Genomic DNA, 23,945 nt, shown 5'->3' with positions numbered 1-23,945 from the left:
GGGAGGGCCACACAGACTTTCCAAGGATGGTGCCTGTTGGGGAGCACTCCCTGCCTCAGCCCAGGGCGGGTTCAAGAGCAGAAGGAGAGGGGCTTGGTGGGGAGGGGCTTCTGAAGGAGTGGTCCATGGCATTGATGAGTGAGAGGGCATGGCAGTGACGCAGCCAGCCCAGGAAACCAGACCGGCTCTGCCCCAGCTCGGGGTGTGTGTGGGGCGGGGTGGCCGCTGTGCGTGTACGCGTAGGGGGCATCCTGTTTGCTTTGGTGGCTTGGCAGCCACTGGGCTATTGAGGAATGTCTCTCGGCTGCTGGCGGGGCCGTCTGGGCCTGTCTGGGAAGTGGAAGCCATCGGCAGTCTGAAACATGACCACATTCCACCCAGCGGGCCTGGCGGGACCCTGGGACCCAGGGCCGGGCTTGGGGTGGTGGGCAGGGCAGGGTGGGGCTGTGGGGTGGGGCACATGGCCCACCTGAGGAGCCACATCTTGGGGAGCCTGGAGTGGGAAGGGGGCTGGCTGGGGTCTCTGTAAGAGCCTCTTCTTGGGCAATGTCCTTTAGGTTTCCTGTGGGCTGAGACCTGAGATAAATACCCGTCACCTGACCCTGAGGTCTCTTGGGGTACAGAAGGGTGAGGGGAGTGGAAGGGGGCATCCCCCTCTCAGTTGGCACAGCCCACCATTTCCCCATCCTATAGCTGAGCCCCTGTTTGCCCACCCCAGCCTGGAGTGTAAACCTGGGGAAAGGTTTACACGAAGAGACTGGGTTAGCAAGGATTTCTAGGGATGGGGCAGGGTCAGAAGCTGACTGGATGGAACTGTAGCCCCTAGAGTGCATTCCTGGGTGTCAGGCTCTGCAGAAGGGGCCAGTGTGGACACGGCACCCCTCTGGAGCCCCAATTTCTTTATCTGTGATGTGGGTTGGTCTCCGAGGCTTGATGGCATTTCTATGCTGTGAGGTGGGCCTGGTGGGTTTGGGCTCAGTTTCCAAGGCAGGATAGGCTCTCGGTCTCCTCTTTCTCTTCAGCACCCAGCCCCGGGGCCAGCACCGTGGGTGGAGCAGTGTGGGGTGAAAGACAGCAACTTTGGCGGGGGGGTCAGCTGACACTGCAACCCATTTCCCCACCAGACAGGGTTGAGGCGGGCCAGGCTGGGGTGGTGGCTGCCTGGGAGGGCCTGGGGACGGTGACGTCCTGCCTTCTCCTCTTCTCCGTATTAGGTCATGGGAAAGCATAGCTGGAGGGCCCGCCTGAATCACAGGTGACGGGCCTGAGACCAGAGGCACGCACACGCACGGCACTCAGCACGAGGATTTGGAGAAATGAGGCAAATTCCTGATGATGGGCGGGGAGGGGGCCCCCAGCCACCTGGGAGCTGGCAGGTGGCCAGTGGTGATGAAAGCCCAGGGGAATGGAAACAGAGGAGCAAGCCTGTTGTAATCGCTACGCCCACTTGGTGGCCTATAAAGGAAGCGGGCGAACCCCGGCAGCCCTACACAACTTGGGGCCCCTCTCCTCTCCAGCCCTTCTCCTGTGTGCCTGCCTCCTGCCGCCGCCACCATGACCACCTCCATCCGCCAGTTCACCTCCTCCAGCTCCATCAAGGGCTCCTCCGGCCTGGGGGGCGGCTCGTCCCGCACCTCCTGCCGGCTGTCTGGCGGCCTGGGTGCCGGCTCCTGCAGGCTGGGATCTGCTGGCGGCCTGGGCAGCACCCTCGGGGGTAGCAGCTACTCCAGCTGCTACAGCTTTGGCTCTGGTGGTGGCTATGGCAGCAGCTTTGGGGGTGTTGATGGGCTGCTGGCTGGAGGTGAGAAGGCCACCATGCAGAACCTCAATGACCGCCTGGCCTCCTACCTGGACAAGGTGCGTGCCCTGGAGGAGGCCAACACTGAGCTGGAGGTGAAGATCCGTGACTGGTACCAGAGGCAGGCCCCGGGGCCCGCCCGTGACTACAGCCAGTACTACAGGACAATTGAGGAGCTGCAGAACAAGGTAGGGCCTGCTGGTGGGAGGGGTCTCCGGGGGGCATGACTTCTTCCCCCCAACTCCTGCCTTGGCCAAAGGCCTGGAGTCCAGCCATAGGGTCTCAGGGAGCCAAGGGTGGTTTGGCTGTGGCTTAGCTTCTGGGAACCTGCCTTGGGGCCCCTGTGTGGCTCACATCCCCCTTTTCTGGGGACAGCAAGCTGAGTCAGGAACAAAGAGGCCTTGTGGAGCCCCTTGGAGCCTCAGTTTCTCCCTCGTGGAGCTCCGCCACCTGGAGAGGTTGTAGGATGAGGCAGGAGGATGCAGATGGAGGGCTGGGCCCGTGGGCTGCTGGATGTGTGGTGTCTTGCTCCTTTGGAGCAGGGGTCAACAGGAGGGGGTTTTGGGTGATGTGGAGTGGGGGTGTCTGAGTGAGCTCCTGATAGCACCTGCTGCAGGAGGAGGCAGAAAGGAGGGGGCGGGACCTCAGTGTGGGGAAGGCCTCTGATGTGCCTTATTTGGGGATTTTTCTGGCTTCTCCTTTCCTCCTGCTGTCCCTTAAGACGGGCTCAGCAAACCCCAGGGGGCGGGGCTGCTGGCTGGCGCCCAGGGTTAGGGATTAGGAGGGGTCCTGACTTTTGATTTGGAACCACTCTTTAATGAGGGCTCCTTTAGCCTCCTTTTGGGGGAGCCTGTCAGGGGCACCCTCTAGCTGACTGTAAAACGAGGGGGTTGCCCACATCCCCTCCCTTGTTCTAGAATTCTGGGACAGCTTCTGCCCTGGGGACATTTTCCCATTCTTTTCTGGTTGCCTCATACTCCCAGCCAGCTGTCTCTTCTCCTTTAAGGCCGAGCCTGCCATGGGGGTCTGGTGGGGTACTGAGTATCGGGGGAAGAAGAGGCACCTTTCAGCCCTTCAGACTCCTGTTTGCCCCTCCTCTGCCAATAATACAGCACGGGGCAAGGGAGGGGCTGGGCGAGAAGAGAGGCCCTGAGGCAGGAAGATCTGCTCAGAACCCTGGTGTGGGCTCAGCCACCCCCATCCAATGACCTGACTACTCTCCCTTCTCCTCAGATCCTCACAGCCACCGTGGACAATGCCAACATCCTGCTACAGATTGACAATGCCCGTCTGGCTGCTGATGACTTCCGCACCAAGTGAGTCCTAGCTGTGGCCTTGGGCAGCCTGGGCCAGCTGGCGGAGGATCTCAGGGTACCCCTCCTGACCCCAGGATTCCTTGGTTGCTTGTGGCAAGGCCCAGGAGCTCAGGGTGGGGCAGTCCTAGGAGCCCCACTCCTTAGTCCAGGATGCAGTGAAGGCAGCCAGTTCTGAAGGTTGCTGAGCTTAGGCAGGGAATAGAAGAGAAGGAGGGGAGGCGGGAGGCGGGAGGCAGAGAGAAGTAAGGAAGCTGGTGGGCGTGGGATCTGGCCCTGTGATGGTCCCGGGGTCCCGGGGCTGGAATTCGTTTCCACTCGACCCTCTCATCAGCCCTTCCAACTCCTTAGAGTCCTGGCAAAATGAAGGCAGGTGAGCAGCCAGGACCTGGATCTGCAGGTCCAAGCAGCCTGGGCTGAAGTCTCTGATTCCCACGGCAGGTTTGAGACAGAGCAGGCCCTGCGCCTGAGTGTGGAGGCCGACATCAATGGCCTGCGCAGGGTGCTGGATGAGCTGACCCTGGCCAGAGCCGACCTGGAGATGCAGATTGAGAACCTCAAGGAGGAGCTGGCCTACCTGAAGAAGAACCACGAGGAGGTGAGGTGGCTGGGGCAGAAGGTCAAAGATGCTGAGGAGTGGGTGGCAGAGCCCTGGGGCTGGGCAATGGCTGAGGCCGTGGGAGAGAGCAGAGCAGGTGCACCGGGATTAGTCACCTTAGAGGGCTTCCCTGTCTGCAGAGCCCTGATCCTTGGGGTCCAGTGTGCAGGGCAGACTCCTCTTTGTACCACACTGCTTCTCTGTACACAAGGAACCTCCCAGGGGCCTGCAGAGGCTCCCTCTACCTACCCTGCCTCCCTCATGAGGGTGGGGGATAAGTAAGGAAATCTTGTCCCATTTCAAACTCTCAAAGCTGAACATCTACATAGAAGCTTGGAAATTAGAGGGGAACTTTTGGGGGCATAGGCCTAATAATTAGATTTTATTTTGGAGAGTCCTTGGTCTAATGGGGGAGATAGAGTCTGATGGTGGAGGCAATACTGAGCAGATGAATAAAAATCATTTAGAGGGTCAGATAGAGCAGAGGGAGAACAAAGGAGGGGTCCTTGTGGGAAGTGGGGTCCCCTTGTGGGGGAAGGCTTGGGAGTGAGAGGTCAGGATGGGTCCAGATGCGCACATCCACATCCCCTTTTTCCATAGGAGATGAACGCCCTGCGAGGCCAGGTGGGTGGTGAGATCAATGTGGAGATGGACGCTGCCCCAGGCGTGGACCTGAGCCGCATCCTCAACGAGATGCGTGACCAGTATGAGAAGATGGCAGAGAAGAACCGCAAGGATGCCGAGGATTGGTTCTTCAGCAAGGTGGGGGGTGCTGCAGGCCAGAGGGCTCTCTTAGGGGCTGGGGCTCAGGGGCCTTAGCACTGACAGTAAGCCCACGGCCAGATGTCTTGGAGGTGCCCCTCCTCAGTAAGCTGCATGGACCACAGGGTCACCCACTGCATCAACAGACATGGAGCTGAGCTCAAGCTGGGATCTGGCGGGTGGGTGGGGAGGTAGGGAGCTCCCTCAGAATAAAGGCAGAGGGTAAAGACCTTGGGAGTCCCCACGTCTCCCTCAAGAAGTCAGGAACTAGCATCAAGAGCCAGGCTACATGTTCTGGCTTGTTCTCAAGTTTCCGGTCTGTGCCTCCCACACGCTGGGATTAACCATAAAAAGTTAACATTTCAAATGGCATGTTTCTGGGCTTTGGGATGTGGGAAGCTGGTGAGAAGGCACACTCTCTCCACAGTTAGATTTGGGAGGAGGCCTGACTTGGGAGAGGGATCCAGGCTCACACCGCCCTGTCCTGTGTCCTGTCTGCAGACAGAGGAACTGAACCGCGAGGTGGCCACCAACAGTGAGCTGGTGCAGAGTGGCAAGAGTGAGATCTCGGAGCTCCGGCGCACCATGCAGGCCTTGGAGATAGAGCTGCAGTCCCAGCTCAGCATGGTAGGAACAGTCCTGTGCATGGGGGAGGGCCCAGAAGAGGGCATTGACCATCCTCACTGACCCCTGGTCTTCCTGCCCTCCTGCAGAAAGCATCCCTGGAGGGCAACCTGGCGGAGACAGAGAACCGCTACTGCGTGCAGCTGTCCCAGATCCAGGGGCTGATTGGCAGCGTGGAGGAGCAGCTGGCCCAGCTTCGCTGCGAGATGGAGCAGCAGAACCAGGAATACAAAATCCTGCTGGATGTGAAGACGCGGCTGGAGCAGGAGATTGCCACCTACCGCCGCCTGCTGGAGGGAGAGGATGCCCAGTGAGTGGGGGCGCCTGGGGTCAGGGCTGGGGGTCTCTTGGCAGGGGTGGGGCTCTCAGACCCACATCTAATTTCCTCTCTGTTTTTTTTTTTCTTTCAGCCTGACTCAGTACAAGAAAGAACGTAAGTATCTGCGTGGCTTCGGCCCTGGGGGTTGGGTGCATGGGACAGGCAGCCCACCTGCACGTTGCTGGGGCAGGGTCCCCAGGAGCTCCAGGAGTTGATGGCTGTCCCTCAGCAGGGAGAAGTGACTCATTAGCACTGAGGATTGATACTCAGGAAAAGATCAAATGAGAGAGACACTGTCTGGTCTGATGGGGGTGGGGCAGGGAACTGGTCCTTACCTTGGAGATCCTAGTCTGATGGAGGAGACAGGTCCCAGCTCTGGAGATTGTCATCTGATGGGAAGATAGGAACATGGTCTCATGATCTTTGCTCTTGACAGCTTTTGGATGAGCAAAAACAGTCCTGTCTCTGGGGTCTGTAGCCTGATGGGAGATAGGGACATGGTCCTTGTCCTCCAAATTCCAATCTGATGGAGAATATATGATCCTAGCCTTAGGGTTCCTAGTCTAATGGAGGAGATAGGGGCCTGGTTTTTGTCTTGGCGATCCCAGTCTGATGGGGGAGATGGTAGAAAATCTATGTCCTAGAGACTGCAGAGAAATGGAGACGGATTTCATGGAGTCTACATGGCTCCTCCCTGGCAGGACACACTGGATCAGAATCAAATAACCCATCTGGGGAGGCAAGACTCACACAGGGCCACCGGCAGAGGGATGGGATGGAAGGGAGGTGGTGGCAGGGACAGGAGGGATGTGTGTGCAGTGTGATGTCGAGGTGCCAGTGGAGGCACTCACAGCACCTGGGGGAGGATGAGGGAGAGAGCCGGCTCCTGTCCATGAGGGCTAGGGGGCAAGCGAGGGCCTCCTGGCCCCTACCCACTTTAAATTGCCTGCTTCTCCTGCAGCGGTGACCACCCGTCAGGTGCGTACCATTGTGGAAGAGGTCCAGGATGGCAAGGTCATCTCCTCCCGCGAGCAGGTCCACCAGACCACCCGCTGAGGACTCAGCTACCCCGGCCGGCCACCCAGGAGGCAGGGAGGCAGCCGCCCCATCTGCCCCACAGTCTCCGGCCTCTCCAGCCTCAGCCCCCTGCTTCAGTCCCTTCCCCATGCTTCCTTGCCTGATGACAATAAAGCTTGTTGACTCAGCTATGAAATGTGTCCTTGTTCTGGCCCCTGAAGTGGGGACTAGGGACAAAAGGGTGAAATGGGAAGGAGTGAGGGTGAGGGGAGATGGTGCTTGGAGACCCACCGTTGTTGATTGGCAGGTCAGGGGTCAGCTTAGACCGGCATAAAGAGTAAGTCTGGGGAGAGTTTGGAAGGGGGTGCTTGCCTCTCCCAAGGGCTGGAGATTTTCAGGGGGTGGTCCAGGCTGCGCTAGACCTGGGGTGGAGTTGGTGTATCAGGTGCGGTCCTAGGTGGCCACTGCTTGCCCTGTGAGTAGCTCTGTGACCTCGAGAAGTTAGGCAGTCACTTCCCCTCACTGAGCCTTGCTTTCTCATCCATAAACGGATGGGAAGATCTCAGGTGTGGGAGCCTGAATCCTCAGAGATGACTCACTCAATCAGTTGTTCCTCCCGGTCCTGTGGGCCGTGCCCTACCCCTAGATGGGGCAGGAGGTGGGCAAGGGCTGGGATAAGCACAAAGGGAGGGTGGGTGGGGGAGGCAGGCTGGGTGGTTGGGGCCCAGACTCCTGTGTGAGTCTCAGGAAATCCCCAAGAGAGGCCCCCATTGCCTCCGCCCTGGGAATGTGAGTGGGAGGCTGGCGTTTTCAGGGAAGGCTACGGACCCCAGGCAGGTGTGGGAGAAAGGGTGGGGCCTCTCTCAGGGATGCTTCCTCACATGGTCAGCTGTTGCTCGGGATGGGGACGGGGTGGAGTGGGGGGGCACTGCAGATGGGGTGGCTGTGCCCAGGGAGCAGTGCCACTCTCCCTGGCAGTCTGGGTCCTCTTTGGTTCCCCACTAGGGACAGGGGTGGCGTGAGGGAGGGTAGAAACTGCCTCCTGGGAAAATGAGAAGGAACAGTCCTGCTCCAGCCACTCCCGGCACCCTCTGAGCTGACCAACCCCAGCTCTTGCTGGTGGCAGCAAACGTGGCTGTGGGGAACAGTCTGTGGGAGATGAGCCTGACACCTGGAAATCTTCCTTCTAGTAAATCCGGAAACTGCCAGGCGGGTTGGCCTGCTTTCCTGGTTTTCTTCAAGCAGGGGGTTCGTGGGAGGAGGAGGTTGCCTCCACCTCATCACTGCTGGACCTGCGGTGTCTCTGCTGCTGCGGAATCAGACCAGGGCCCCCAAACACCCTCTCTCTCCTCGTGCCTGGAGGCTGGGGGTTGGGCCCAGGCCTGAGGAAAATGGGAGTGACCAGAGCCCTCTGAGCCTGGGTTGGTGGGGGTTTGGGACTGGCAGAGGCCAGGGATGGGGGTGGGTACTGACCACTGGGGTATGGGTGACTTTGGGCTGGTCACAGGCCCTCCCTGGACCTTGGAGCTAAGACATCCTGGGAGAGAGTTTCTCTCTGCAGGGGAGATGGCTGCCTGGAGTCGGGGACTCGCACCTGCAGCGGCATCTGCACGACTGAAAGCAAGGGCAGGCTCTGCTCCATCAGAGGCTGACGTCTCCCTGTTGTCTGGCAGCAAATGTGGCGCCATGGAGGGCAGGAGGGAGGCACTGTTTGCACCAGGCCCCCACCACACATCCCGCCACAACCAGAAGAACCAGCCCTGGGCTGCAGATGGCTCATTCCGGAGGGTGACTTCGTTTATCTGAATAGTCCCAGGAAGCAGGGAGGGCCTGGGGGAAGGCACCTCGTTGTGTGGATGGGGACACTGAGGCTCCAAGGAGCAGTGACTCAGCCCTTGTCCCGGAGCCTAGGGGGTCAATAGTGGAGACAGGCACGGGAGGGGAGTGGGCCCCGCTTCCGTGCCGGGAAGAGGAGCCCAGCCCCACCTCCTGCCCCACCTCAGGTTCCAGGCAGGGCTCTCTCTCCCCTCTGTAGATCCTGGGGTCCACAATTACTGATGGGACAAGTGAGGAGGGGTCAGAGTGTGGGGAGGACCAGAGACGGCCCCAGACTGTGCCCCTCTGCTGGGGAAGAAACCCTTCTCCACAAAGTGAGTGGGTGGGGGGCTCAGGATGCCAGAATGGGGGAGCCCCCCGGTGTGCCCAGACAGCTGAGCCAGGGGATGGTGGGGAGACTTGAGCGGCTTTGTCTGTCCAGGCACCCCAAGTGGGCCCAGGCTGCTGGGGACATGTGCCTGGGGTGGACTGGGGACCCAGCTATGGGACTCATGGAGGGACTCACAGTTCATCCACACACTCCCTGCCCACTGCACAGAATGTTCCACCCTGTCATCAAGGCAGAAGCTGCAGATCTGTGGTTGCCCTTGGAGCTGCCACACCTGGTCTTGAGTGATGGACACACACATATGATTCTCAGGCCAGGTCCATGCCAGTGGTAGCCTACCTCTGGATCCCCCTTGCAGGGGCTGACCTGGTAGCATGTCCAGGGGGAGATGAGTGTCCCCCACTACATCCATCTCCCTGCAGGACATCCTGCCAGGGGAAGGAGGAGACACCGGTCCTGACCCCAAGAGATAGTGCCTGCCCCGAGGGGACCTGAGGGACTGAAAACAGTCCCTCAGCCTTTATGCAGTGTGGGTCTCTTGTGGCAACCCAGGTTTTGGGGAGATGAGGGGAACAGAGGGAACAGAGCCAGGCAGGTCTCCCCCCATGCACAGAGCTGAGGGGATAACTGAGCTGGACAGAGGCCCGTCCTCACCCTGAGCTGTAGTGACCATTTGAAGAAACATCCCTGAGAGAGGCCCACTCTTTCTCCCACAACCCCCTGGGGTCCGCAGCCTTCCCTGGAGGCACCAGCTTCCTGCTCACATTCCTGGGGTGGGGGCAATGGGAGCCCCTCTTGTGGGTTTCCTGAGACTCACACAGGAGTCCGGGCTCCTTGTTTGTGCAGAACAGGCACCCCAAGTGGGCCCAGGCTGCTGAGGACATGTGCCTGGGCTGGACTGGAGACCCAGCTATGGGACTCATGGAGGGACTCACAGTTCGTCCACACCCACCCTGCCCAATGCACAGAATGTTTCACCCCATCATCAAGGCAGAAGCTGCAGATCTGTGGTTGGATTGTGAAGGGCTATGACAGCCCCACCTTCAGAAGGGGGGCATCAAACATGCAGGAGGGGATAGGAGCCCCAGAGGTGGGCCTGGCACTCACAGATTTCCCCAGATCCCGGGAGCCGTCACAGGGGCAGAGCCTGGGCCTGGACATTTGTTCTCCCCCAGGGACCCTGCTCTCTCTGTTTCTCTGCAGGGCCCCAGTACCCCATCGTGGCCTGACATTAGTGTATTGGGATTGTCTTTACCACCTTCTCCCCCAGAAGACTGTGTCTCCAGGGCTTCTCTGTCTTGTTCTTTGAGTCTGAGTGCCCAGCACAGTGCCAGGCACATAGTAGGCACTTTATAAACACCTGCTCATAAACATAACGCTAGCCACCAGCCTTTTCCAGGTGCTTTATTTATTTGGCCTCGAATCCCCTAATATGCCTGTGAGGCAAGGCTGTTATTCCCATTTCCCAGAGAAGGAAACTGAGGCTCAGAGAGGCTGAATGTCCTGCCCAAGATTTCGCCCCTGCTTGCCCCGATTCTAGGCTGCTCTGTCCTGGCTCAGTGGGGCTCTACTTTTCCTTCCTCCTGCCCTGAAGCCTGTGGCTCTGGCTTGTCCACCCGAGGCTGGGGGCCCTGCAGCAGCCCCCTCTCTCCCCTCAGCTTCTCTGCCCCCCTCCTTAGCCCCCAAGCTGCCTCCTGCCTTCCCAGTCTGAGTTGGCTGGGGAGCTTGTAAAACAGCCCCACCAGCAGGCTTGTCCTGAGCGGTGCTGATGCGGGAGTTGGAGCAGGGCTGCAAATCTTCATGGGGACTCTGACGATCTGTCTGGTTGGAGAATCACTGCAAGTCAAGGCGTGGCATTGGCCAATGGTGTTTCCCGGCTGCCTCAGGTATGCCATGATCTCATGCCTCATGCTTGACATGGGCAGTACGAAGGAGGGAGGAAGGAGGCAGGGTGTGGGGAGGAATCCTCTGCCTGGAGGATGCCCACTGGGCTTCTCTGTGCTCACCAGGCTTAGTGGTCCTGGCTCTTGGCCACCTTGGGGCAGGTGTGCATCACTGGTGCACAGGAAACGCCTCCTCCTCCTCCTCTGTCAACTCAGATCCTCTGAGGCCCTGCTGGTGCCTCTCTCTGCTAGGACCCTTTCAGGGATCAAGGCCAGGAGGGCAGCCCCCTCCTCTACTGCTGAGGCTCAGCGGGGCAATGCCTACCCCAGCTGCCTCCTGTGGTGTGGGCATGGCAGGCAAGCCCAGCACCCCAGGGTTTCTAGCCAGGTTCTGTATTTTCCAGCATTAGTTTTCCCTCCAGGGTCAAATGATAAGTTCTTCTAAGGTCAGAGACTATGTCATCATCTCCCTCTTCACCCCCAGCCCCCGAGAGCTGTACACACAGCAGGTGCGTGATCTATGGAGTTGGCTGAGCAGTTTGGCGCGTTGGTCAGCAACTTCCTGCAGCTTCTCAGCCCATGCAGATCCCCAGGTCTGCAGTGCTGGGCTTGTGTATAATCCCGCCCTGACACCTCCTGGAATGGGGAACTTGGTGGGGGGCAGTGAGCCAATGAGAAAGGGGTGTGTGTGCATGCACACACGATGGGGGCAGAGAGTGAAGAGTTCTCAGAGACTCTACTACGAGAGTCGGTGTGAATCCTGGCTTGGGAGTTAGAGCTGGCTCGAGTCTCTGCTCTCTCACTTTTGTGCTGCTTAACCTGGATAAGGCTTTCGCTCTCTCCAGTTGGGGTATTAATAGCCTTTGGTGACCTTGAAGACCATTTTCAGTTCTGAGGGTGATGGGTCTGTGGATGGACCAGAACTCCAGGCCCAACCTGACACCTGAACACTGAGGTTTTTGTCCAAGATTCCGGGGTCCCCTTTGCCCCTTTTTGGGGTAGGGGTGAGGAGTGTCAGGTTCCCTCTCCCAGGTTTGACTCTGAAGGGATGTGCATCCGTTCTGCTCTTACCTCTGGGATGAATGACCAGGGGAGATGTAGCAGTGACAAAACCCTGGTTCTGCTGAGACAAGGAATTGCCTGCCCCAGTGGAGCTCAGGCAGAAGCAGGCTGTCTCTGGGCTCCTCACCTCAACAGAGACACTGCAGAGCAAGGCCAGTGGCCAGCACCGAGGGATGCCCCACAGCACCCTGAGGAGGCCCCGTCTTGGTGCCCAGACCCCTCCATCCTCCCTCCAGTCCTCGGTGCTGGACCAGGCTCTCAGGCCAAGGCCATGCCCACCATGGGCAGACCTCCTGCCAGTGATCGTGGGGAGGTGGGTGAGAGTTGGGTATACTGGCCCCGCCTGCAGGCATGGTGGGAGCCTGGAGAGGGCCAGAGTTCTGGGTTCTAGTTGCAGCTCTGCAGCTTAAAGCAGAGTGACTTTGAGTGAATCTCTACGCTCACAGAACTGTATGGCACACACTGGGCTCTCCATGCATGCCTGAGTGGGCCCATAACCAGTGCTCTCCCCCAGCTCAGCTGGATGAATGGAGCTGCCAGGCCTAGCCTGGGATCTGTGGACACAGGAGAGAGAACTGCTGGGAACGGATCCCCGGCTAGTCCTGTTTCTACAGGGTAGGGGGGGACTCTGAGGCCCAGGTGGGGTCAGGGGTCATACCTGGCTGTAGTGGCAGGATGGGGCTCCCTCCCACCAGCCTGCAGGTGGGGTGCCTGTGATTAGGAGAGGGCGGTAGAGGAGTGGCAGAGCTAGGTGTGGGGCTGTGGTGTTCTTCAGCTGGGAGTGTGGGGGGCGCAGGGCCCTGCTTAGGGGTGCGGGATGGTGCCAGTGTGTAGAGGTGAGTGTGAGGAGCAGGTGGCTGGAGGGGCAGGATGGGGAGGCTGAGGGGCAGGGCTGGCCCTCGGGGAAGGGCCGGTGGGGTCCTTCGCGCATGTTTCTTTGTGGCTAGTGGTGTGTCATCCCCTTTTACAGATGAGAAAACTGAGGACCAAGGGGCTATAGGACCAGCCTGTGCTGTACAGTTGGTAAGGGCAGAGCAGGGACTCAGTGCCGCCTGTCTAGCTCCATGGCCAGTGCTGTTTGTATGGTGCACACACTTCTGGAGATCCCGGGGGCTCAAGGCAGCCTCTGGAACTGGAATTAGATCCAAGAGGGGAAAGAGAGTTATAGGATTTTTAGAACAGAAGGGACTCTGCAGTCACCCAGTCCAGCCTGGTCACTGAGGGGAAACAGGCCCAGAGGTGGGAGGTGGGGAGCCTCAGGCCACACAGCAAGCAGAGTGAAGACAGGAACTCTGCCCCTGCCCAGAGTGGGACATGTGGGATCCCCACAACTGCTCCCCAAGACAGCCCAGGATGGCATCACTGAGCTCTCTTTCAGCCAAGGCTGTCACTGTGGGGCAGGGAGTTCTTCTGAAGGGCTGACTCACTGCCTGGGGACGCAGTTGCCACAAAGCCACCTGTGCCAAGGCCCGACTGGCCCCGAGGGCTCCAGGAAAGGGAGCCTGATTCCCCACCGCCTAGCCTGAGTCACCACCGAACTCGCATTTCTGTGTTTTTCTCTCGGCCCCACACCCCCAAAGCTGGGTGGGAACTCTGAGCCGGCACACAGCAGAGTTGATCCTGGGCTGAATAATCCAGAGTGAGGAGTTGGACGGGACCGGGAGTGATGAAATCCAGAGGGGAACCTGGAGTCAGCAGTTAGGAGGGCCCCGCCTTCCCCAGCTGCATATAAAGGTCTCTGGGGTTGGAGGCAGCCACAGCACGCTCTCAGCCTTCCTGAGCACCTTTCCTTCTTTCAGCCAACTGCTCACTCGCTCACCTCCCTCCTTGGCACCATGACCACCTGCAGCCGCCAGTTCACCTCCTCCAGCTCCATGAAGGGCTCCTGCGGCATCGGAGGCGGCATCGGGGGCGGCTCCAGCCGCATCTCCTCCGTCCTGGCCGGAGGGTCCTGCCGTGCCCCCAGCACCTACGGGGGCGGCCTGTCTGTCTCCTCTCGCTTCTCCTCTGGGGGAGCCTGCGGGCTGGGGGGCGGCTATGGCGGTGGCTTCAGCAGCAGCAGCAGCTTTGGTAGTGGCTTCGGGGGAGGATATGGTGGTGGCCTTGGTGCTGGCTTCGGTGGTGGCTTGGGTGCTGGCTTTGGTGGTGGTTTTGCTGGTGGTGATGGGCTTCTGGTGGGCAGTGAGAAGGTGACCATGCAGAACCTCAATGACCGCCTGGCCTCCTACCTGGACAAGGTGCGTGCTCTGGAGGAGGCCAACGCCGACCTGGAAGTGAAGATCCGTGACTGGTACCAGAGGCAGCGGCCCAGTGAGATCAAAGACTACAGTCCCTACTTCAAGACCATCGAGGACCTGAGGAACAAGGTGGGTGACTTTGGTGTATGGAGCACTGAGAGAGGCTGGGGCTACAGTGGCCCTTGGGATACCTCTTTTTAGCAATTACACTTTACAAACAGGGAGACTGGGCACCTTTGGGGAGTGGCCAGGATCACCCAGGGAAGTGGTAGCAGAGGGTCCCTTTTCAGTATCTCTGTGCCCGGACTGGGGCTGTTACCCTAAATCTCTTATTTCCTTCAAGGGTTCAGCTGCAAGTTCAGCTTCCCTGCCTTGGGCCCAGGAAGGGGGTGATCGGGATGGAGTGCATCCCTACGTAGCCTGAGCTGGTGGAGAAGGCATGCCAGCCCTGCCAGCCAGAAGACTTCCAGATTTGGGGCGGTTCCTTTTGCCCCTTTCTGCCTTTCATGCTCAAGTAGTAAGGTCCTTGGCTGACCAGGGCTCCTGTCCTCCATCCCCACTCCAGATCATTGCGGCCACCATTGAGAATGCGCAGCCCATTTTGCAGATTGACAATGCCAGGCTGGCAGCCGATGACTTCAGGACCAAGTGAGCAGCCAGCATGGTGGGCTGGGGGCAGAGGGCAAGGGACAAAGAGTGGGGCGGTCCACCCAGCAGGGCCAGCAGACCCCGAGCCTCAGAATCCTCAGGGCTGCAGCCTGAGGACCTGACCTCTGTCCTGCCAGGTATGAGCATGAACTGGCCCTGCGGCAGACTGTGGAGGCCGACGTCAATGGCCTGCGCCGGGTGTTGGATGAGCTGACCCTGGCCAGGACTGACCTGGAGATGCAGATCGAAGGCCTGAAGGAGGAGCTGGCCTACCTGAGGAAGAACCACGAGGAGGTACGGTCGCTGCTGGCTTCCGGGGTGGGAGGCTGGTTTGGTGGGGTTGCCAGATGCACCCAGGGCCAGGAGAGAAGTCTGCTGAACTGACCGCCTCCTGCCATCCCTTCCCAGGAGATGCTTGCTCTGAGAGGTCAGACCGGCGGAGATGTGAACGTGGAGATGGATGCTGCACCTGGCGTGGACCTGAGCCGCATCCTGAATGAGATGCGTGACCAGTACGAGCAGATGGCAGAGAAAAACCGCAGAGACGCTGAGACCTGGTTCCTGAGCAAGGTGGGGCTCGGGCCCGCAGTGAGCCTGCAGCACTTCCCAGCTGGGGGCTTTGGGAGAGCCTCACCTTTCACTCTGCTTTCCTGCCTCAGACCGAGGAGCTGAACAAAGAAGTGGCCTCCAACAGCGAACTGGTACAGAGCAGCCGCAGTGAGGTGACGGAGCTCCGGAGGGTGCTCCAGGGCCTGGAGATTGAGCTGCAGTCCCAGCTCAGCATGGTATGAAGGACCCAGCACAGCAGCAGCCCCCAAGTCACCAGTAATGGCCACCACCCCCTCAAAAAGCCACAGTCTAGTTCCACCTTTCTTTTCTCAGGATGGGACCAGGGGACTCATGGGACCGTTATATAGATAGAGAAACTAAGCCCTAGAATAGTGGGCTAGCTTTTCTCCATATTGTCTGGCCCATCAGTACCCCAACTGGGATCAAAATCCAGGCATCTCTCAAAAAACATGCCCAGAGACCTGGAGGAACAGGAGTGACCACCTCCATGGACTCTTTTTCTCTCTCTCACTTGCAGAAAGCATCCCTGGAGAACAGCCTGGAGGAGACCAAAGGCCGCTACTGCATGCAGCTGTCCCAGATCCAGGGACTGATTGGCAGTGTGGAGGAGCAGCTGGCCCAGCTACGCTGTGAGATGGAGCAGCAGAGCCAGGAGTACCAGATCTTGCTGGATGTGAAGACGCGGCTGGAGCAGGAGATTGCCACCTACCGCCGCCTGCTGGAGGGCGAGGATGCCCAGTGAGTCCCAGGCCCCTCAGTTCTGCCTCCCAGACCCTTTAGCCCCCCTGCTGCTCTCAGCACAACTGACTGCCCTGCTTTTTCTCTCCCACAGCCTTTCCTCCCAGCAAGCATCTGGCCAATCCTATTCTTCCCGCGAGGGTAAGGCTTCTGAGGCTCCCCGGCACTGCAGCCCCTCTGCCTGTTTCCATGGAGTGGGGGCTGGGCCCTTCTCCTCAGAGCTCCCAGCCCTCCCTTCTCCCTGCCCTGGAGTCAGCTTAGCTCTCAGACCCCTTCTCACCTCCTCTTCTCTCTCCCACAGTCTTCACCTCCTCCTCGTCCTCTTCGAGCCGTCAGACCCGGCCCATCCTCAAGGAGCAGAGCTCATCCAGCTTCAGCCAGGGCCAGAGCTCCTAGAACTGAGCTGCCTCTACCACAGCCTCCTGCCCACCAGCTGGCCTCACCTCCTGAAGGCCCGGGTCAGGACCCTGCTCTCCTGGCGCAGTTCCCAGCTATCTCCCCTGCTCCTCTGCTGGTGGTGGGCTAATAAAGCTGACTTTCTGGTTGATGCAAACCTGTGTGATCTCTGTTCTTGAACTGATGGGAGGGGAGTTGCAGGTGCTTTCCAGAAACCTTCTGGAGCCTCACAGCCTGAGAGATGTGGGAAATGGGACAAATCTCAGAAGATCTTGAAGGGTCTTCCTGGAAGACCTCCATGCTCTATGGAAGTGGGAGGTGGGACACAGGATGGGGGAGTGTCCACACGTGTTGACTGACACCATGGAGGCATTCTACAGAGGTTATTTATGATATTTTCCTTGCAACCCTGTGAGGTGGGTATGGTCAGGCCCATTTTGGAATTGACAACCCCCAGAATTCAGAGAGTTTCAGTAAGTTGCATAAAATCATGCAGATAGTAAGTGGCACGGCTGGAGCTCAAACTCAGTTCTGTCTGTCTGCAAAGTCCATGCCTTTCTTTTAACACCACTCTACCTTTTTAGGTATTTTAACCCAAAGACTCCCATGCTTGAATCTTAACTCTACCCATGGGCTCTCCCACATCTGCACACAGTTTCTACGCTGGAGGGTGGAAGGGAGTTCTTTCTTCCTTAAGAACAGTGTCCTCGTCAGACCTGAAATCCTCCTTCTCCCAGCCTGCTTCTCCTCACACCCCATCAACTCCTCCTTCCTCATTTCCATCAGCTGGTGAATTGCGTGCTGATGAGCACCCTAGGAAACACCTGCTGCCCCATGGCCATTGCCATGTTTAGATCTTCTTCCTCTCTCCCTAGACCTGGGCACAGCCTAACTGGGTCCCCTTTGAGAGTCAATCTCATCCACATTAAATTTCCACTGAATGATTTCCACCAGAATGTGGTCAAGATCAAGAACAAGGGTGAGATCAGGACCCCCCTGCTTAACAGCCTGCGATGGATCCCATTCCCCTGCAGCACTCAGCCTTCAGTCTCAACTCAGCTTGGTGTCCTCCTGCCCCTCCCAGCTCCAAACCCCTGAGTCACCCCTACCTGACTGAGATATGGCCCATACCTCTCAGTTGCCGTTCCTTCTTCCTGGATGCCTTCCATGTTTTAACTATTTAAATTAAAAAAATGTTATGTATGTACAACATCATAAGACTTTTTTTTTTTTAGACGGAGTCTTGCTCTGTCGCCCAGGCTGGAGTGCAGTGGCGTGATCTCGGTTCACTGCAAGCTTCACCTCAAGGGTTCATGCCATTCTTCTGCCTCAGCCTCCTGAGTAGCTGAGACTACAGTCACCTGCCACCATGCCTGGCTAATTGTTTTTTGTATTTTTAGTAGAGACAGGGTTTCACCTTATTAGCCAGGATGGTCTCGATCTCCTGACCTCGTGATCTGCCTGTCTTGGCCTCCCAAAGTGTTGGGATTACAGGCGTGAGCCATGGCGCCCAGCCAAGACTTTTTTTTTTTTTTTTTTTATTCTTTAAGTTCTAGGGTACATGTGCACAATGTGCAGGTTTGTTACATAGGTATACAAGTGCCATGTTGGTTTGCTGCACCCATCAACTCATCATTTACATTAGGTATTTCTCCTAATGCTATCCCCCCACAGCCCCCCACCCCCGACAGGCCCCGATGTGTGATGTTCCCCACCCTGTGCCCATGTGTTCTCATTGTTCAACTCCCACCTATGAGTGAGAACATGTGATGTTTGGGTTTCTGTCCTTGTGATAGTTTGCTTAGAATGATGGTTTCCAGCTTCATCCATGTCCCTGCAAAGGACATGAACTCACCCTTTTTTATGGCTGCATAGTATTCCAATGTGTATATGTGCCACATTTTCTTAATCCAGTCTATCATTGATGGACATTTGGGTTGGTTCCAAGTCTTTGCTATTGTGAATAAGACTTTCTTTCTTCTTTTTTTTTTTTTTAATGAAAAAGCCATCCCCAGACTGGATATCACAGCTCTGTTCCCGCCTCCCCCTTTCAACTTCAGCTGTTTCTTTTGGGATTTGTCTCCTTACTTCTAAATAACAGGCTTTACCTTGTTACTGTTTGATTTTTGTGTTTCAGTTTTTAATCGCTTGACTTCTGGCTGTGAAGGATGAGGATGTAGATCTGTTATACAGCATTGTGCCTGCCCACTTCTTTTTTAAATATCTTCTTCCCACCTTCTCAATATATTCATATTTTTGTTAGATAAATGTTTACATTATTAAGACTATTTAAATGTTATTCATAGTCAAACCATATATTATACTATGTTACATTTTATGCTATATTAAATTTCCTTGGAATAAATATCTCCTTTTCAATTTGCCTAAACTTTCTATGTATTGATCATTAATTTGTTTCCTGATTCACTGCTGGAAGTATAAATCTCCTCAGTATTTTAGAACCCTGGGTGTTCTATCAATTTCATCCTCATGAAGATGTGTCTCCTAGGGCCTTCTGTCCTGCTCTTGTCTGTTCTGGGTGCTGTCTGGGTCTTCTGCTCAGCTGTGATCCTGGAATCTCTCTTCACCATCATCCTGAAATTCCTTCTTTTTCCTGTGTTGCATTCCTTGTTTTCTGGATCCAATGTCTTCCTCCTTCCTGTTTTTATTTTTCCCTTTGTTTTAGTGAAGCACATCCTCAAGTAGTTTCCTGGAAAGGGAGTTATCGGGGTTAAATTTTTTGAGACCATTTGTGTCAAAAAGATCTTCAGTTTATCTTCACTCTTGACTGATAGTTTGGCTGGGTATAGAATTCTAGCTTGGAAATCATTTGCACTCAGCGTCTGAAGGTACAGTTTCACTGTTTCTTGGCTTCTGGTGTTGCTGTTGAGAAGTCTTATGCCACGTTGACTCGAGATCATTTCTTATTATCCTGTTCCCACTCTCCTCCCTAGAAGCTTTTCAGTTCTTCTCTTTCTCTCCAGCAGGCTGAAATACCATGTGTTGAATTGATGCAGCTGTAACTTCATCCACCGGCTGGACTCTAGCAGAAACTTCTAATGTGGGAGCTCATGTTGTTCAATTCTGGCAAATTTTCGTGTTTCATGATTTCCTCCCTCCATTTTCTCTCTTTCTGAAATGGCTCTTTTTCCTGGGTATTCTGTTTTATTTTCCATCTTGTCTTTTCTTTGTTGTTGTTGTTGCTGTTTTCTGAGAAATTCTTTAACTTTGACCTCTAACTCCATTATTCAGAGTTTTAAAAAATCTGCTGTATTTGGCCGGGCACAGCAACTCATGCCTGTAATCCCAGCAGTTTTGGAGGCCAAGGTGGTTGGATTGCTTGAGCCCAGGAGTTCGAGACCAGCCTGGGCAACATAGTGAGACCCTGTCTCTACAAAACATACAAAAATTAGCTGGATGTGGTGGCTTGTGCCTGTAGTCCCAGCTGCTAGGGAATCTGAGGTGGGCGGATCACTTGAGACTGGGAAGTCGAGGCTGCAGTGAGCTGAGATCACACCATCGCATTCTAGCCTGGGCAACAGAGTGAGATCCTGTCTTAAAAACAACAGCAGTCTTTTATATTTTTCATATCTCATAGCTCTGCATGTTTTTTCAACAGTCTCTTGTTCTTGTTTCAAGATGCAATAGTTTCTCTATCTCTTTGAGCCTATTAGTCCTGGCTCCAGCAATGCTTCTATTTCTGTCATCGGCTCAGTTTCCTCAGTTCCTTTCTTGCTGTTTGTCTTGCCTCCATCTTTCATGCCAGAGGCTTTTCTCAGATGTCTAGTGGTCCTTGGTAGTCGTTCATATTTAAGAGTAAGTCACTGAGAAACTAATTGGAATATGTGTATATGTGTGTGGATAGCATGGGAGCTTGCCACTGATAGGTCTCAGTATAGAGTAATCTGGTGGAGAATAAGCGTTTCAATGGGGAACAGTTATCTGTAGGACTTTTCTTGGGTAGGGTCTTCCCCAGAAGGAATACCTCTAATTTTCTGTCTGGATTGTAAAAGCTACCAGCTTTCTGGAAGCTGAGTGCGGGAAGGGGGCAGAGAAGGTCTCAGTCTCAGCTACTCTGTTACTAATTGATTATAGTTTATTGGCCCTTCTTGGTGTCTCAGGATTCAGAGTCCCTCTGGGGAAATTCTCCAGCATAAACATCTAGTTTCTCCTGGAGTAATCGTGGAGTGGTTGGGATCAGACAAGGAGGGGAGAGAGGAGCTACAGGGGCCTCTCTGCTTTTTTTTTTTTTCCGAGATGGTGTCTCGCTCTGTCCCCCAGGCTGGAGTGCAGTAGCACCATCTCGGCTCACTGCAAGCTCCGCCTCTCGGGTTCACACCATTCTCCTGCCTCAATCTCCTGAGTAGCTGGGACTACAGGTGCCCACCGCCACACCTGGCTAATTTTTTGTATTTTTAGTAGAGACGGGGTTTCACCGTGTTAGCCAGGATGGCCTCAATCTCCCGACCTCGTGATCCACCTGCCTCGGTCTCCCAAAGTGCTGGGATTATAGGCATGAGCCACCGTGCCCGGCCGCCTCTCTGCTTTTTATACAGATCTCTAGCTCACCCTCCCATTTCTAGTTCACTTGTTCCTCACTGTCAGAGGTACCTGGTGCCCCCTATTCCAGAGAGTTTCCAGAGTTCTTAAAAATTCAGAGTTAAAAAGTTCCAGAGTGTAAATATGCTTTGCCTCTTGGCTTCTCTCTGGGCAAGCGCTGGGCTTTATTTGTCTTTGTTTTCCAGATTCCAAAACTTGATTGCTATAATCTAGTTTCCTGATCTCTTTGACCCCATGGGTTTTATCCATTTATAGTAATTTTAGTAGTGTTTAGGAGGTGAAGATAAACTGCAAGTTTAACCTGAGTTTAATCTGAAGTCTCTGCTTTACATGACAAAACCATATTCATCTTTCAAGGCTGCTGAGCCTGATTCATTACTCTATAATGCACAATCATTGTTGGCATTATTGGTAGTTTAGCGAATGTGTTTCCCTTTTTCTGGTCACCCTGTCTCCCAAGCCCTAGGGTGAGCCTATGACTCAGAGCGAACCCCAAATCTCGATACCAAAGGTAACCACTGATAGTATTTTTACAAGTTTTTCTCTCTGTCTCTCTATATATACACTCATGCACCATATAACAACATGTTGTTTTTCAGTGATGGATGGTATATATATATATATATATATATATATATATATATATATACACACACATACACACGAGTGGTCCCATAAGATTATAATACTACATTTTTACTGTACTTTTTCTGTGTTTAGATAGGTTTAGATACACAAATACCAACCACTGAGTTACAATTGCCTATAGTATTCAGCACAGTAACCTGCTGTTCAAGTTTATAGCCTAGGAGCAATAGGCTATACCATCTAGCCTTGGTATGAAGTAGGTTATACCATGTAGGTCTTTGTAAGTACACTGTATGGTGTTCACACAATGACAAAATTATTTAATAATGCATTTCTCAGAATGCGTTCCTGTTGTAAAGTAATCCGTGACTGTGTACATATATATACACATTTATACATATATACATTTATGCATATATGTATAAATAAAATACATTTATGCATATATATTTATGTACTTATACATATATATGTATAAATGAAGTAAAAATGAAGTAAACATATCTTACCAACTATAATTACAACAACAATTACACTAAATGTCTATACCATTTTTCATTCTTTTTTTTTTTTTTTTGAGACAGAGTCTCACTGTGTCGCCCAGGCTGGATAGTGCAATGTCATGATCTTGGCTCACTGCAACCTCTGCTGCCCGAGTTCAAGCGATTCTCCTGCCTCAGCTCCCACAAATATTTTTGATTATTTCCTTAGGCTAGATTCCTAGATGTATACTAGATGAGAAGATACAGATGTTTTAAGATTCTCGATTTGAATGGCCAAATTGATTTAAAGAGAAATTGTGCCAATTTGCATATCTTGCCAGCAGGGAATGGGAGTGCCTATTTCAAAACATGCTCATCAACTGTGAGTATTATCTTTAAAAACCTCTTTGGTAAATTGATTCAGCTGATTCTTTTAAAGATGATGTTGTGGAAGGACCCTTACACAGAGACATAGTCCTGGCCTGGGTTACTAAACAACTCCTGGGCTGGCACACACTTTCATGAGTTGTTCATTAATGAGATGTCAGAACAGAGGATGTAGAATACCCTCCAACTGGGCATGCGGTGCTATTTTATTTTATTTTATTTATTTATTTATTTATTTTTTGAGACAAAGTCTCACTGTCACCCAGGCTGGAATGCAATGGTGCGATCTCAGCTCACTGCAACCTTTGTTTCCCAGGTTCAAGCAATTCTCATACCTCAGCCTCCTGAGTAGCTGGGACTACAGGTGTGTGCCACCACACTCAGCTAATTTTTTTTTTTTTTTTTTGTATTTTTAGTAGAGACAGGATTTCACCATGTTGGCCAGACTAGTCTCAAACTCCTGGCCTCAAGTGATCTGCCTGCCTTGGCCTCCCAGAGTGCTGGGATTACAGGCGTAAGCCACCATGCCCAGCCTGGGCATGGGTGCTATTTTAAAGAAGTTGTCTGTACCCGTATCTTCCGAGTGCCTAACCCCCAGGAGCAGATCCTTGGAAAGCTCATCACGAAAGGCCTCTACCTGACAGATGCAGAAATTCAGGTTTACAGTAGTTAAAGGAAAATTAAAAAAAAAACTTTCTTGGGGTCTCACAGTCACTTAGCAAAACTCCCGGAGAGCAGAAATCACTTATCTCTTCTTCATTGCTGTTATCTTGTAGAAACAAATCATGAGCCCCTTTTAAACAGAAGGACAATATTGTGCAGAAATATGAGTTTTCCCTTCAATAAGGGAACCAGAATTTCCATCTGGAAATGGCTTGCTGCCTGGATTTCTCAAACTATGATTCAAGCCCCAAATCAGACTGCCTTTTGCTCTTGCCTGGTCTTTCCCACTTCCTAAGATCCTGGCACCTGAGCTGAGAAGGTTGAGAACTCCCAGTGTTCCTTGAAATCTGTCTAATTTGAAGGTACCTTCAGATTCCTTATGCTTGACTTACTGTCAAAGTTCGGCAAATATTGTTTTAGATAATTGCATGAGGTGCAAAAACAATGACTAGAGTGAGAATTAATGGCAGCCCATAAAGTGCATCTGCTGTTGTAAATGAATGAGTGGTATGCTTGTAAAGCTCTGCTTTCTTTGGGTCCATTGTTTCTGAGAGCTCTAATAAGCTCAGTGTCCCTCCTAGTGTATGAGATAAGCAATTTCTTGTGCTTGTCTTTTCACTGCTGTAGCTTGTTGTTTAAGACCTTCTGTCTGCTCCCCGAAACATAAACAGTAATGAAACTTTTGTTTTGCTAGTTACCAACAGCCCCTGGATGGTACCCAGCCCATAAAGGACACTCAGTAAAGACTTGTGGAGTCAGGCCGTGGAGGTTTGGTTTAGAAGTCTCTGCTCTTTCAGGACTCCACAGAACTTGCTCAGAAGAATTTCTTGAGGGCAGGCTTCTCTGGGTTCCATGTGCTTCTCATTGTGTTGGCACAGGGAGGTCTCCATGGGTAGGTATTGACAAGCTGGCATGGATGTGAAAGCAAATATCTTCTTGAGCCCTGGAGGGATGGAGCCCCATCTACAGAACTGAGGCATGAGGCAGTGGAGCTCCTTATCTGGCCCCTCCTCTGATGTGCTGTCTGCATCCTGGAATCCCCAACAGTCCAAGACCCCCGAAGGGCTTTGAGCAGATCAAGGGGTGTTAAAGCAATAGTGGCAGCTATCCAGGAGACGCCATTTCTGACTTCACCC

The 23,945-nt window shown here is 54.1% G+C and overlaps 2 protein-coding genes across 2 annotated transcripts, besides 1 other annotated feature; both read left to right on the top strand.

Moving 5' to 3' along the window:
• Window positions 1,489–6,622, top strand: KRT17 (keratin 17). Its single transcript, NM_000422.3, has 8 exons — window positions 1,489–1,986; window positions 3,032–3,114; window positions 3,553–3,709; window positions 4,310–4,471; window positions 4,973–5,098; window positions 5,185–5,405; window positions 5,506–5,528; window positions 6,376–6,622. The coding sequence occupies exons 1-8, from the start codon at window positions 1,555–1,557 to the stop codon at window positions 6,468–6,470; spliced, it is 1,299 nt and encodes a 432-aa protein (NP_000413.1). The 5' UTR covers window positions 1,489–1,554; the 3' UTR covers window positions 6,471–6,622.
• Window positions 11,718–12,266: an enhancer, noted in NCBI's record as "H3K4me1 hESC enhancer chr17:39770050-39770598 (GRCh37/hg19 assembly coordinates)". NCBI's record gives its function as "activates a minimal SCP1, AML or CMV promoter by ChIP-STARR-seq in primed H9 embryonic stem cells {active_cell/tissue: H9 hESC(primed)}" and the evidence as "EXISTENCE:reporter gene assay evidence [ECO:0000049][PMID:30033119]".
• On the top strand, window positions 13,297–16,286 carry KRT16 (keratin 16). The gene is made up of 8 exons (NM_005557.4): window positions 13,297–13,906; window positions 14,343–14,425; window positions 14,563–14,719; window positions 14,834–14,995; window positions 15,085–15,210; window positions 15,513–15,733; window positions 15,828–15,874; window positions 16,035–16,286. The coding sequence occupies exons 1-8, from the start codon at window positions 13,376–13,378 to the stop codon at window positions 16,127–16,129; spliced, it is 1,422 nt and encodes a 473-aa protein (NP_005548.2). The 5' UTR covers window positions 13,297–13,375; the 3' UTR covers window positions 16,130–16,286.

Source organism: Homo sapiens, chromosome 17 (assembly GCF_000001405.40).
Source record: "Homo sapiens chromosome 17, GRCh38.p14 Primary Assembly".
NCBI classification, from domain to species: domain Eukaryota; kingdom Metazoa; phylum Chordata; class Mammalia; order Primates; family Hominidae; genus Homo; species Homo sapiens.
Note: the sequence above shows the minus strand (reverse complement) of the source record. Positions and strands in the feature narration are given on the sequence as shown.